General features: G+C 35.0%; 1 protein-coding gene across 1 annotated transcript; it reads left to right on the top strand.

The window, feature by feature from the left end:
- Window positions 1-3,757: 3,757 nt before the first annotated feature.
- On the top strand, window positions 3,758-13,338 carry OR52A5 (olfactory receptor family 52 subfamily A member 5). The gene is made up of 2 exons (NM_001005160.3): window positions 3,758-3,803; window positions 9,412-13,338. Exon 2 carries the CDS (start codon window positions 9,472-9,474, stop codon window positions 10,420-10,422), a length of 951 nt encoding a protein of 316 aa, NP_001005160.1. The 5' UTR covers window positions 3,758-3,803; window positions 9,412-9,471; the 3' UTR covers window positions 10,423-13,338.
- The last annotated feature ends 2,070 nt before the right edge of the window (window positions 13,339-15,408 follow it).

Below are 15,408 nucleotides of genomic sequence, written 5' to 3'. Positions count from 1 at the left end.
TGAGGCAGGAGAATAGTTTGAACCTGGGAGGTGGAGGTTGCAGTTAGCTGAGATTGCACCATTGCACTCCAGCCTGGACAACAGGGTGAGACTCTGCCAACAACAAAAAAGATTTTTCTATTATTTTATTGTTTTTTCATTAATATACTTTGGTTTTTGGATAAAATTTAGGTTTACAGAAAAACTGAGTAGAAAGTACAAAAGATTTCCATATATCCTTTCTACCCAGAATAAAGGTTTTGCATTTACATTTGAGCTATGCTTCCTTCTTGGTTATCAAATTACATCACCATATTTATTTATCATATCCTAATGTTTGAAAACATATATCTAGTGGTTTTTTTGTATAGTCTGTGTATACCATGCTAAGCCAATTATTATTTTTAATTGTGATATAATTCACATTCCAAATAATTAACCTGCTAAAGGTGTACAAGTCAGTGGATTTAGTATAGTCAGAAAATAATGCAACTATTACCACCCTGTAATTTCAGAACTTTTTTTTTTCCTTATTGAGATGGAGTCTCGCTCTGTCACCCAGGCTGGAGTGCAGTGGCATGATCTTGGCTCACTGCAACCTCCAGGTTCAAGTGATTTTCCTGCCTCGGCATCCCAAGTAGCTGGGACTACAGGCATGTGCCACCATGCCCAACTAATTTTTACAATTTTTGTTTGTTTGTTTTATGTATAGACAGGGTTTCACTATGTTGGCTAGGCTGCTCTCGAACTAATGACCCCAGGTTATCTGCCCACCTCAGCCTCCCAAAGCATTGAGATTACAGGCATGAGCCATCACACCCAGCCTCAGAACATTTTAATCACACCAATAATGAAATTCCATACCCACTGGCAGTCACTCCCCATTTCTTCCTGCTTCCAGATTCTGGTAATCACTCATCTACTTTCTGTCCCTATGGATTTGTGTATTCTGGATACTTCATATAAGTGGGTTTATACCACATGTTGCCTTTTATGTCTGGCTTCTTAGCGTAATCTTTTCAAGGTTCATTGATGTTTTAGCATAAGTCAGAACTTCATTTATCTTTGTGATTAATAGTCCATCATATAGATGACTCTACTTTTGAACTTAGTAGGTAATTCTCTGGCCAATATAAGCTTTTCCATGATCCCTTCTTTTTTTGCGTGGTAAAGACATCCATCTTAATTTGTAAAATTCTACATGTCATATACATATGGTCAGGCCTTTGTATTTTAAATTTTCGTATTTCATTAAAACATTTATTTTCACTAGATGAATTTTATCAACCATCCATAGTAAAAGCTATTCAAATTTTGTTTCTGTTGTATTTTAACTCAAATGCCTTGTTTCTGCTTTTCTCTGAAAAACGTGCAGATAGGAGTCTATTTTAAAAAACGCGTTTTATTTCCTATTACATTTTTCAGGGGTATACATTTCCATTAAAATGCTTATGCAAACCATTGTTTTTATTTATTAGCATGAGTACTAAGGATCCATATCAGTCACCAAAGTAGTGAGTCACATTGCGTCTAAAACAGATGTTTTCCCCATTGTTCCAATGGGTTTTAACTAAATAGTATCTAGTAATATTTTTTTCTCTAGTATTCTATAGCATTGTGATTCCTTGAGGTTCACATATTTTTTTGCATGTTTCCAAAAGTATCTTTGGAGCCATTCAGTAGGTCTATATTTGTTAGTTACTCTATAAATAATAAAGTAGTATTTAGATTTCAGAAGTGTACAGATTTTACCTGAGCCTACTTCATATCTATCTGAAAAGTATTTATCTTACTTTTCCTGAAAATATTTCATTTTATTTGGGGTTCATATGTTGTTATTTCTGTCAGGGATTGGCATTCTTATTTGCATTGTTTGTTCACTTTCCTGATGTAAATACTCCGGCTATGGCTGATGTCAAGCTACCAACGTGAAGTCAGTGAAAGCAAAGCTGGAAAGAGATGCTTGAAACCAGCTCTTATAGGCATGATATGAGCTGGTTCTAGTACATAACTGCTCTTAATTCAATACCATTGGTTTTTCTAGGTTGGATATAATTTTATGGGAGGTTACTGACAAGATGGAGTCACTGGCTCTTTATATGTAAAAAGAACAGGTCTCCTGAATAAGTCCAGACCCAATAAGACAGGAGAAAAGCATTGTGACTCTTGGCAAGAGCATATGTCTCAGGCAGATGCAAGAAATCCAGTCTTCAAGACTTCTAGTACTATGCAGAGAATGGGAATCTTTTCCCTCTCTCTACTTTAGGCCAAAGCTGTCAATCCCTTTTCCTTTTTCCTTTTTAATTGATGAGTAGAAATTGTATAAATCTGTGGTGTACAACATGATGTTTTGATAAATGTATACATTGTGGAATGATTAAATAGAACTGCTTATCAGTGACACGTGCATCTCACATATTTATCTTTTTTATTGTTGTGAGAACACTTAAAAACCTGCTCTTAGCAATTTTCAAGTATATATAATATGTTGATTAATTATAGTCACCTTGATGTACAATATAGCTCTTGAACTGATTTTCTCCATCTAACTGAAGTTTTTTGTCATTTCACCAACATTTCCCCAATCCTCCCATCTCCCAAAAGTCTGGTAACCATCAGTTTATTCTTTGTATTTATGAGTTCAACTTGTAAAATCCATTTTGTAAGTCACAAACTCTTTTTTCAACTGTAAAACCAAGTTTAGCCTAAAGTTGCCTCCTTACATATTTTAATTTCGGCCCAAGGGTTTCTCTGTATATTGTGAACTATAACAAGTGGAGGTATAAACAGACTGTAGCCTACGCTTGTGCTAATCACTGAGTTTTGGTCAATCAATTGTAGACACCTGCTCGAATCATGTTCAAATAAGGCAAACGCTAACCTGTAATCAATTCAGTTGTTTCTGTACTTCACTTCTCTTTTCTGTTACCTCAGTTTCCTTTTTCTGTCCATAAATCTTCCACCATGTGGCTGCGCTGGAGTCCCAGAGCCTACTCTTCTAGCTTGCGGGGAGGCTGCCCAATTTGCAAATTGCTCAGTTAAACTTTTCTAAATTTAATTTGGCTGAAGTTTTTCTTTTATCACAACTAAGGAAATAAACGTTAAAAATTCTAGTCCCCAACGCAAAGTTGATATAGATATTATGACTGCACTAACATTTTTGAAAAATACATATCATTGTGTCAGAATTCTGACATGACTGGGACAACTTGAGGAGAGCTGGTTTGTATATAAGAAAGATTTGTGTCACCAAAGTTCATGCAGAAGCCGCTCAGAGAGTGGCTGTGATTGGGGCCCTGAGGTACACTTTTCAAAGTCAGCCTCTTTCATGAACCTAATGAGAAATAATTGCTTATCATACTGGAATTAAACTACGAAAATATTCCTTTAATTATCTGTCAGCATTTGTCTACACTGATTAGTCTGAATATTTCAAGACGTTTTAATTTCCCTTTATTGGCTCATTATTTTTATAATTAAGTGCTGTGATGACATTGTCATCATGGTACACTGTCATCTCTTATGAATTTGTAAAAGGAGTTCATTTTGGTTCCAAGTCCTGAAGAGATTGAGTCTTTTTGGTTCTGTTTTGTATTTTTAGATACAGAGCTCGATTAGTTAATGAATCTTCTGAGTTCTTAACCATATTCCGCCTCTTGTTTCACTCTTGTCCCAAGTGGTCCTCCAGGCTGGCCAGAGATTTGTGAGACCCAATCCCAAAGGGGCCTTTTGTAATACAAAATGCTCAGGGTTCACTGCCTGAAACATAAACAAAAAAGAGTTCTCCTCTATGGCTTCTACTTATAAGTCCATTGATATCCCTGGTAAGTCTTTGAGCTTGAGATTCTGCATGGTATTTGGGAAAATGAAGAATTCATTCTAAAGAGGACATATGTCTCCTGCGATTCAATATGCCAGGATGATAAAAATGCAACAGAATCTTAAAATAGTTGAGTGTTCAAACTCTAAAATGATGTCTCATGGTATCTCATGCTTTTCAGAATATTTATGATCAGTCGATGAAATGCTGGGTGACATATTTTAAAGTGAGATTTAATAATGGGAGGACATCTAGAGAATGATTATCTGGGCTGATAAGCAAATGGAAAGCTTATTTGCTAAAAGCCAAGAAAATTGAACGTGCTTAGACTGGGGAAGATTTAGGAGAACTGCTCACTGTGTCATCAAATATGTGAAGTTATTTTATGGGATGAGAAGGATAAAGTCTTACAGAAAAATAGCCGGTGCCAATCAACACATTTTTGTTTATTTCTCAATATTTGAAATGGATTGTGTCATTAATTTTTACAATCACTCTGTAATGTGTCTCTTTCTATTTTACCAATGAGGAAACTGAGGTAGTTAGAATTTCACAACTGGCTCAAGGGCATGCAAGGCCAAGCAATAGCAGGTCTAGGATTTGACCTCTTTTGACCAGCTTCAGGTTCTGTAGAATTCACTGCTATTATCTATGACTGGTGTCTATTATTAAAATGTAGATTTCAGACCTTTATGAGAAATTAAGAGGGAGGCAGTTTGGAGCTCTATATAAAGAAGACCTCGTTGACACTGGAAGCTGTCCTGCGATGTGGCACACTATCTCCGAAAAAAAAAAAAAGAGAGAGAGGGAGAGAGTTTTCTGTCATGGGAAGGTTTCAGGCAGAGATCAAATGGTAACTTTAAAGATGATATAAAGGGATGAGATTTCTGATATTGTAGATAGTGTGGATTAACTCTAGGAGGGAGTGTAAACTTAGACTCCTAAATCACTTAGTAGTTTCAGATCCTTGGAATTAGCTTGTATCAGAACTGGAGTGGTAGTTATTCAGGGTTTATTCACACATGCAAGATGTAAGTTTCTAGCGTGTTGACTTTGGCCCAGGAATTTCAAGGGCTTTGGGAAGTTTTCTTCTTCCTTTAAACATATGCATATTTGTGCAAACAAAGTTGTTCCCCAGGCTGCCTTTTCTTATCCAGTGCAGTAATTCTCAGTCCAAGAACATGTTTTGCCTCATCTCTCAATGTACCCTTACATCATGTTGGTGAGTCCTCACAGATTTTGATTTGTTGTTAATCCTTCACTATTGTCACATTACTTTATAATATCCCATCTGGACTATCACAAATACCTTTCTAACAAGATCTTACTATGCCCTTGCTCTCATTCCCTTAAAATCATTTGCTAACCTGCTAGCAGATAGAATTTTTAAAAGGCCAAAGGTCTGGCCTATCACTTACAAACTTTTATTACTTGGCTTAAAATAGTAACTTTACATTTGATCCTTTCCCTTTTACATTTAACCAACTATTATTTCTGTTTATGAATGAATTTATGTAGTAAAATATTTATTGATATGTATTTCCAGCATGTGTTTCATACTTCTGTGATTTTATACAAACTATTTTGTCTTTAAAGAATGCCCTTGTCTATCTCCTTTATCTGGCCAATATCTACTGAAAAAATATTTCCCTCAATACCCAGTTTTATTCTGCCCAGTTTGATTTAACATACATAAATTCATCAATCTTTATTTAATTAAGGGCTTATTTTCCCCTCTAATGTGAAGTCTTAGGTTATAACTGCTAGCAACCAGAGATATGTCCCTCTTCATGCATCCAAGGGACATTTGGCAATGCTTGAAGGCATTTTTTATTGTTGCTACAAGGAAGTGCTACTGGCATTCAATGGATAGGAGCCAGAGATGCTGCTAAACCTTTTACCAAACAGATGACATCTCCCACAACAAATAATTTATTTGGCTTAAGATGTCAGTGCTGAGATTGAGAAAGTCTGCCCTAGAAAAACAAATTAGGCCTAATGGAAGGTGGAAGTGGAGGTGGAAATAGAAATGGAAATGAAAAACTATCCAGAAGAAAGGTCATTATTTTCTCAACATGGTCTATGGGCTTTTTGATTGAAGGCTTGCTTTTCTTTTTTATTCACTTGCTATTTTGTTCACTTGCTTCATCGTCTCTTTTTGCTGTCTTTTCTCTGACTACTCAGTATATACATTGTCAAAGTTTGAATTTGTATGTTACCTTTCAAAGAGTCTCCAGCTCAACTATTACTCATGTGGCCCTGTTAGATTAATCAGAGCAATATTTCTGATAAAGGCAATAATAAATATTTTTGAGCCAAATTGGAGATTATTGCCCAGTATATATGTCAACAAAGAGTCAAACTCTGTAAGATATTTGAAGATATTTATTCCGAGCCAAATATAAGTGACCATGGCCTGGGACGCAGTGCTCAGGAGGTCCTGAGAACATGTGCCCAAGGTAGTCTGGGTGTACCTTGGTTTTATACATTTTAGGGAGACATGAGACTTCAATAAAATACATTTAAGAAATACATTGGTTAGGTCCAGAAATCAGGGGTGCTTCCAGGTTTGTAGGTAGGTTTAAAATTTTTCTAACTGGCAATTAGAAAGGAATATCTGAGTTGCAGTAAGAGGTTATGGAGATCAAAGTTTTATCATGCAGATGAAGCCTCTGGGTAGCAGGCTTGAGAGAGAACAGATTGTAAATGTTTCTTATTAGACTTAAGGTCTGTGTTGATGTTAATGCTGGAGAGATGTAATGGGGCATGTCTCACCCCCACTTCCCTTCATGGCCTGAACCAGCCTTTCAGGTTAAATTTTAGAGTGCCTTGGATCAGGAGAAAGTCCATTCAAATGGTTGAAGGGACTTAAACTTTTATTTTTTATTTACATTTGGATGGTATGTTGTTCAAGAAGTGGACATATATCAAACAGGTAGCATATAATAAACGTGTTCTGTACTGTGCGTCCTATACCTATGTGATAAATTAAAGTGATTGGGGAGTAATGTCCATCAGAATCTTAACAAGCTCAGTAATGAAAATAGTTGGTATATTTTTACATTACCCAGCCTCATGTAATTACCCTCTGATACATATATCTTGTAATCCTTATTTATTGGATTATATTTATAAAATCTTGACCAGGCTTGGTGGCTCCCGCCTGTAATCCCAGCACTTTGGGAGGCTGAGGCAGGAGGATCACAAGGTCAGGAGATTGAGACCATCCTGGCTAACATGGTGAAACCCCGTCTCTATTAAAAATACAAAAAATTAGCCAGGCATGGTGACGGGTGCCTGTAGTCCCAGCTACTCAGGAGGGGAGGCTGAGGCAGGAGAATGGCGTGAACCCGGGAGGCGGAGCTTGCAGTGAGCCGAGATCGTGCCACTGCACTCCAGCCTGGGCGATAATCTCAAAAATAAGTTAAAAAAATAAAAATTAAAAAATCTCAGAGGACAGAAATTTGCATATTTTGTTCTTTCTGGGTAAATACAGCATAAAATTTTGATCCAAGTGTATTTACTTATAACAAGTTCTAGACTTTCATTAATATAATCAACCATATTAATATTAATATATTAATATAATCAATGCTAATTTCATAAATTAAGAATGGTAAAACAATGTAAAATGTTTAAAGATTTTAACTGAGTGATATTTAACACATATTTAATAAATGGTACATGTTACTTTTTGAAGTCCACACATTCAGCAAAATGTAGATAATTAATAAATATGGAATAAATAAATTTATCTTTGTTTCTCAATTGCTTCAAACAATATTTGGATCATAGTGGATACTTAATAAATCTTTGTTAATTAAAATCATTAAATAATAAACCTCTAATTTATTTTTTGGATAAGTTTTATGGAAAGAAAGAAAGAGATGCTTCTGTAATTGCTGGAGATAGCTTATACATGCTCTTTCACTTCCCAGAAACAATGTAAGTATATCGGGGAAAAAGAAAAAATTAAACAAATAGACAATTGAAAGGTGATGAGGCTGGCAGGTTGGTGAGATTTTTCCTTGTTGGCCCCCCACTACTATCTTTATCTATTTTGCAGTCTACTTAAATTATTTCAGAGAGTGAGTTTTGCAATTACTAAAAGAAAATACAGGTAATATGTAAATTATTTAATATTTCACATATTTTGTGATGCAAGTATTTTCTTGAAGCAGAGATTAATTCAGACAATAAAAAGCCCTTGAGCTTTGGATGATGAGAAGGCAAAGCCACTCTACACTGACACTTGTCCCCTGGTAACAGAGATAGAAGGCTCTGGAAGCCTAGAGTGTTACATGCTGGAGTTACCAGTGAAGGGCAGAGACAGAAAAGAGTATCGAAACAGTCCTATGCAAAATAACGTGCCAAAGAAAATCTTCACCTTTATATAAATAATTGTATTTGAGTAGATAGAAGATGTATAGATATATAAAGTTTTATGTAAAGAAAAAAATTATAATATTTCTTAGAGAGTTTCATGTAATTTCAAGTTGTTAAGAAGAGATGATGGTTCAGGCTTAGGGAGGTAACAATGCCTATTTCTAGGTAATGAAAATTAGAGGGTATATGTTGGCACTTGATATTAATACAAGAGATGTGCACATGGCTGAGCATGGTAGGTGAGAAGAAGCTTTGATAGGAAGTGCTGAAGAAAAGACCCATGAATTCAAAAATAAGGAATTAATTTTGTTAGAGAATGCACAGGACAATGTATAAGATATATGATTGGGTTTTGAGAAGACACTGAAAGTTTGAAAAATTAGGTTGAAAGAATTTTGAGCCTATATGAGAAAAAGACTACAAAAAACCTAACCTGGAAAAAAAAAAAAAACAGCCAGTGGATTTCAAAACTAAAGAACATTTCAGTCAAACTTGTCTTCTGATTATGACCAGAATGGTCTACAGCACTGTGGATCCTTTCTTTTTTTTTTTTTTTTTTTTTTTTGACAGTCTCGCTCTGTCGTCCAGGCTGGAGTGCAGTGGTGTGATCTTGGCTCACTGCAAGCTCTGCCTCCCGGGTTCATGCCATTCTCCTGCCTCAGCCTCCCAAGTAGCTGGGACTACAGGCGCCTGCCACCACACTGGCTAATTTTTTGTATTTTTAGTAGAGATGGGGTTTCACCGTGTTAGCCAGGATGGTCTCGATCTCCTGACCTCGTGATCCACCCACCTTGGCCTCCCAAAGTCCTGGGATTACAGGCGTGAGCCACTGTGCCCGGCCTGTGGATCCTTTCTTTATGGCTAATGTAGATGAAGTCTAGTTTTAAAATTCTTTGCTCTGCATTAAATAATATTTTTTTTTTACAATTTCAATTGGTAAGTCAAAGAAAAAGCACATAATGCTGAGTAATAAACATAAAATATTGTTGATCCAATAGTCATGAACCAGAAAAAAGCCGTCTAATCCATTTAATTTTGCCCATTGAAAATGATTAAGACATGGAGAAACAGAACCTGATGTTTGTCTTTCAGTGACTTTGGTAAAGGAGACAGAAAATTAGAGAAGATTAGTTAGAATAGAAAATACAACATGATACACTCCTAAAATAACTACAGTATATTTTCCTAAAATAAATTAACATATTTTTAATTTTTAATTCATCAAGGCTCAACAGAGAATAGAAGATGAAACAGCAAATCTACCACTTGATTCTGATGAACAAATCATGCCGACATTCAATGGCTCAGTCTTCATGCCCTCTGCGTTTATACTAATTGGGATTCCTGGTCTGGAGTCAGTGCAGTGTTGGATTGGGATTCCTTTCTCTGCCATGTATCTTATTGGTGTGATTGGAAATTCCCTAATTTTAGTTATAATCAAATATGAAAACAGCCTCCATATACCCATGTACATTTTTTTGGCCATGTTGGCAGCCACAGACATTGCACTTAACACCTGCATTCTTCCCAAAATGTTAGGCATCTTCTGGTTTCATTTGCCAGAGATTTCTTTTGATGCCTGTCTTTTTCAAATGTGGCTTATTCACTCATTCCAGGCAATTGAATCGGGTATCCTTCTGGCAATGGCCCTGGATCGCTATGTGGCCATCTGTATCCCCTTGAGACATGCCACCATCTTTTCCCAGCAGTTCTTAACTCATATTGGACTTGGGGTGACACTCAGGGCTGCCATTCTTATAATACCTTCCTTAGGGCTCATCAAATGCTGTCTGAAACACTATCGAACTACAGTCATCTCTCACTCTTACTGTGAGCACATGGCCATCGTGAAGCTGGCTACTGAAGATATCCGAGTCAACAAGATATATGGCCTATTTGTTGCCTTTGCAATCCTAGGGTTTGACATAATATTTATAACCTTGTCCTATGTCCAAATTTTTATCACTGTCTTTCAGCTGCCCCAGAAGGAGGCACGATTCAAGGCCTTTAATACATGCATTGCCCACATTTGTGTCTTCCTACAGTTCTACCTTCTTGCCTTCTTCTCTTTCTTCACACACAGGTTTGGTTCACACATACCACCATATATTCATATCCTCTTGTCAAATCTTTACCTGTTAGTCCCACCTTTTCTCAACCCTATTGTCTATGGAGTGAAGACCAAGCAAATTCGTGACCATATTGTGAAAGTGTTTTTCTTCAAAAAAGTAACTTGATCGTTAGTGACTCCTATAGAGATTTAGGGTTGGTTCTAAGTAAAAACCTAAATATAATGAAAGTCACAGATCAATATTCTCAAACTACTAGCTCAACACATACCTGTAATTCTAGCTATGTCTCACTTTTTAGTATTTGCTTTGAATCTATATTTTGATAAATTTGGAATCATTTATCTGTGTCTTATTTACTTTATCTGAAATACTTATCAATATAAAAATAATATGAAATCAGTAATACCGATATCTACAACATAAAACTTATGTAATGCAACCAATGACTATAAACACTAAGGAATTTACACAGGAGAGAATGCAAAAAAAATTGAAAAATATTAAACATATTCACAAATATCATTTTCAGGAAAATAAAATCAGTGATCTGGGCTTACATATCAAATATCCTTCTAGAACCACACAATTTTATTGATTTTTACCTAACTTGAGTTTTACTCAAATTTGGAAGTTTAAGTTCTAAAATTGAACATACAAATTCTGTTACCCACTGAAAGCATCTTGAGTACAGAAACTATCTTATTTACCCTTTATCAGGAAAACAGTGGACAATGCCTGAGAATTCTTAGAATCTAAGTAAAAATGACATTGAATAATGAACAGAGTAAACATTTTCTTTGTGTCAATTAATGGTATTCAAAAGCCACAAATTTGGAGGCTCTAAGTAATATGCAATCTTACCATACAGAAAACCATGCTAGAGATTTTATTCCAATATTATCAGGGTAAAAGAAAGGTGAAGACTTGAAATAATCATTATGCAAACCTGAAATAATATATTAGCTAAACACAGAACTGGCATATAAGAAACCACCTCCTGAATAAGGACTTTAGTCAAGACTTAGAACCAAACAAATTTTTTTTTCCTTAAGAATCAAGTTGACAGAGTCATCTGAATCACTAATTTTGAAAAGATGCATGGTCAAAGAAAGAAATAATATGGTAAAACGTTCTGATGTAAAAAATCATATCATTCAAGAGGCAGACATAGATACATACAATTTTGGGGAAAAATCTTGTCAATAATGTAGAAATGACTTTGAGTCATAATTTTTTTAATAAAGTTTATGTAAACATTATATTTAGAAAGAATCAAAAATACATGACAAAAGATAAAACAACATGTTAGTTGATAGGCAGACATATTAAAAATTGTTGAATTAGATAAGCAAAACTTAATAATGAAATAACCATTTTAATTCTGGATTAGAGCATTAAATATTTCAGTGGTTGTGCCATTAATAACGCAGAATGAATAATTAATGAGGAGTCATTCTCCCAAAAGAAAAAAAAATCATAAATATATGAATTCTTTCAGAAAAGTTAGTATACATGAAGGATAAAGAATGAAGATAATAAGTAAGTGATACTCCTAAATAAGAAACCAAAACAAACAATATGATGATAACTACAGATTAATCATGAGTGAATGAAAAAACTGTATTTCAAAGTATCTGGTATAAAAATGCACCAAATTATATAAATGAAAATAGACAAAACACCCATATTGGAAAAAAATCAACAGAAAATAAAAATTTCAACATAGGTCTATCAGAAAAAAACACATTACATATCCTAAAAGACATATTTTTTTTTCATTCTCTGGAGTATGAGGGAAGACAAACAACAAAGATCTTAAAAATGCACATTATCTAATGGAAAAAAATTAAATGAAAAATTTGTGTCATAATTAGACTGTGGGTTGGCATTTCAAGCCATTTAAACCTGTAATTAATAAAAAGAACAATTACAGTGCATAATAATATTACTAGTTTCTGAAACAATGTTGTCCCTGTCCAGTGTTCTCTGCTAAAGAAACCCCAGCTGAAGCAATTTCCACATGGAGTACAGCACCTGGTCCAGCTGATTTCAGCTAGGTCCCAGTCAGCACACAGATCTGTTTGACTTCTTGGTTGCTTTTTGGTCTTCTTTACAGGTCAAATTTGTTCCATGCTGAAGATCTGGGTTCATATTACCTTTTTTTAAGGTATAAAAAAAGACCTGGCCTCAAAATGAGGTTGTACACGTAGTTTCTGAGAGTCTGCTCCATTGCTCTTCAATTGAGGGCTCTGGCTAATTGGATGCAGAATCCGAGATAAAGGACAGCCACCTACAGCAGCTAGAGGGCTGAGATATGAGTCAGACTGATATGCCCTGACTATGATGCAATGAACATCTTAAAAAGAGAAATTTATTCCAAGAATAAATTGTTTGAGGGCTCGAAGGGATTGCCTTAAGTTAAAGATGGATAAATAGGTATCCTAGCTAGGAATCAAAAAGGTCTGAGTTTCTCCATTACCCTTCCTTTAACATTCTACATACTCCTGGGCATGTTATTTCCTCTTCTCTACAATGGGGCTAACAATACGAGCCTCAGAGACTTGTGAGGAATATGTGAGAAAAGGCTCACCAAGCATGTAGCACAGATCCAGGCTAAAACACACCTTAAACATGTAGGCCAAGGTGTACATACTCTGAGAATTAAGATGCAGAGAAAAATGATTTCAGGATTAAGTGCAAAGAGACGGAAATGAATGGAGCAGAGTGCCGGGATAGCTGTGTGGCTGATGATCCTCTAGCTGGAGCTAGGTCAGTGTCTTTGGGCAGAGCTGTGTGTAACATTCTCAGAAGCATGCTGAGACAACAGAATACCTTGGTGATCTTTATTCAATTGTTTATTTTTACTGAGATGGAATTCACATGCCATAATATTTGCAATTTTAAAGTATGCAATTTGATGATTTTTAGTGTATTATAAAGGCTGTGCAACCATCATCACTACCTAATTGAAAATACTTTCGTCATCCTAAAAAAAAATCTATATACATTAGTAGTCACATCCCATTACTTCTGCTCCCCCCATCTCCAGTCTTAGCAACTGCTAATCTCTTTTCTGTTTCAATGGATTTTTCTGTCTGGATGCTTTATATAAATAAAGCATTACATATGTGAACTCTTGTATTTACTTTTTTTTTCAATTCTTTTCAGTTAATTCTTATATTAATGTAATATTTTAAATGTTCATCCATGTACCATATATCAGTAATGCATTTCTTTTTAAGGCTGAGTAATATTCCATTAAATGGGTATGCCACATTTTATTCATTTATTCATCAGTTGAAAGACATTTACAATGCTTCCACTTTTTGGCTATCATTAGCTTTCATTAAAAAACATCACTAAAAGACCCATTTGATGTTATTTGTCATACATTTAAAACCAGTCTCATCAACATTTTTGTGTATTTTTCTTCAGTAAAATTCATTTGCAGGGAAGAAGGAATAGACAAGTGTACATTTAAATTCAAAGATGAGATGAGATATGATGAGACCAGATGAGATAAAATAGTTGAATAGCAAGCAAAGAATGAAAGCAAGATCGTAGATGAACTATGGAAGAAATGGAGCACAGCAGAAATAAGATGAGATCAACAGATTTAATGTATCTCATTCTGTCAAATTGTTGTTGTCAGAATGAGGAAAGTGAACTGGTAAAAATACAAAGAAAAACATTAGAAATAATACTCTCCAGGTATAGGATATTGATTATCTCTGGAAGGAGGGTGGGAAATATTGTGGAAGTGCAGAAGAAGTGTGATTCAACTGTATTGAACCTTCCCTCAAGAAACTGTGATGGATTACATGGATTTTTTAGTTATGCTTTATTTATTTTTTATATATTTTTTATTGTATAATATATTTGGCAAAAAAAGATAAGTGAATATATTCCTGATGTAGTACTTGGCAAACAACTTAGTTTAACAGAAGTTAAACAGTATTTTTATATTCATAGTAAAAATATCTCCTAATGTGTTTTAGTTTCTTTAGCAAATTATTAAGATTATTCCATGCTTTAAGAACTATGATTAGAATTTAGGATAAAGGAATGTTCCTGAAGGCAGTGACCATAAAGGTGCAGCCCTGTTTCTTACATTCATTCTCTGTGTAAATATGATGTTTGTCGAATTTTTAAAACTTAATTATTGCCTTGTTTTTTCAGTTACAAAGAGATCTATGTTAGATTTTCCTACACTGTAGATTTTTCTTTTTTCCTTGGGGATCGATCAATGTTCTCTTTTTTTTTTTTCTTTTTTAAACTTTATTTTTGGTTCAGGTGGAACATGTGTAGGTTTTTTAACTGGGAAATTGCATATCGCTGGGATTTGATGTACAAATGATTTCATCAAACAGATAGTGAATGTAATACCCAATAAATAGTTTTTCAACCCTCACCCTTTTCCCACCCTCTGACCTCAAGTAAATGCTGGTGTCTGTTGTTCCCTTCTTTGTGGCCATGTGTACTCAAAGTTTATCTTCCACTTACAAGTGAGAACATGTGTTATTTTGTTTTCTGTTCCTGCATTAATTCACTTAGGATTATGGCCTCCAGCTGCATTCATGTTGCTGCAAAGGATATGGTCCCTTTCTTTTTATGGCTGTATAGTATTCCATGGTGTACATGCACTACATTTTCTTTATGGAGTCCACCATTGATGAGCATCTAGGTTGATTCCATGTTTTCACTATTGCGAATAGCATTGTGATGAACACAGAAGTGTATGTGTTTTTTCGGTAGAATAATTTACATTCCTTTAGGTGTATATCCGGTGAGGAGCTTGCTGGGTCGAATGGTAGTTCTGTTGCAAGTTCTTTGAGAAATCTCCAAACTGTGTTCTACATTGGCTAGATTAATTTACATTCTCACTGGCAGTGTGTAACCATCCTTTTTTCTCTACAACCTCACCAGCATGTTACTTTTTGACCTTTTAAAAATAACTATTCAGACTGATGTGAGGTAGTATCTCATTGTGGCTTTGATTAGTATTTCTCTAATGATTAGTGATGAGCATTTTTAATATGCTTGATGGCCCCATGAATATCTTCTTTTGAGAAATATCTGTTCATGTTCTTTGCCTACTTTTTAATGGGGTTGGTAGACCTTTCTTGGATGCATATTTTGCAAATATTTTCT

Source organism: Homo sapiens, chromosome 11, assembly GCF_000001405.40.
Source record: "Homo sapiens chromosome 11, GRCh38.p14 Primary Assembly".
In the NCBI taxonomy this organism is placed as follows: domain Eukaryota; kingdom Metazoa; phylum Chordata; class Mammalia; order Primates; family Hominidae; genus Homo; species Homo sapiens.
Note: the sequence above shows the minus strand (reverse complement) of the source record. Positions and strands in the feature narration are given on the sequence as shown.

Bases quoted from the DNA above. Each gene is read 5' to 3' on its own strand.
- OR52A5 (NM_001005160.3), top strand. From the start codon at position 9,472: ATGCCGACATTCAATGGCTCAGTCTTCATGCCCTCTGCGTTTATACTA.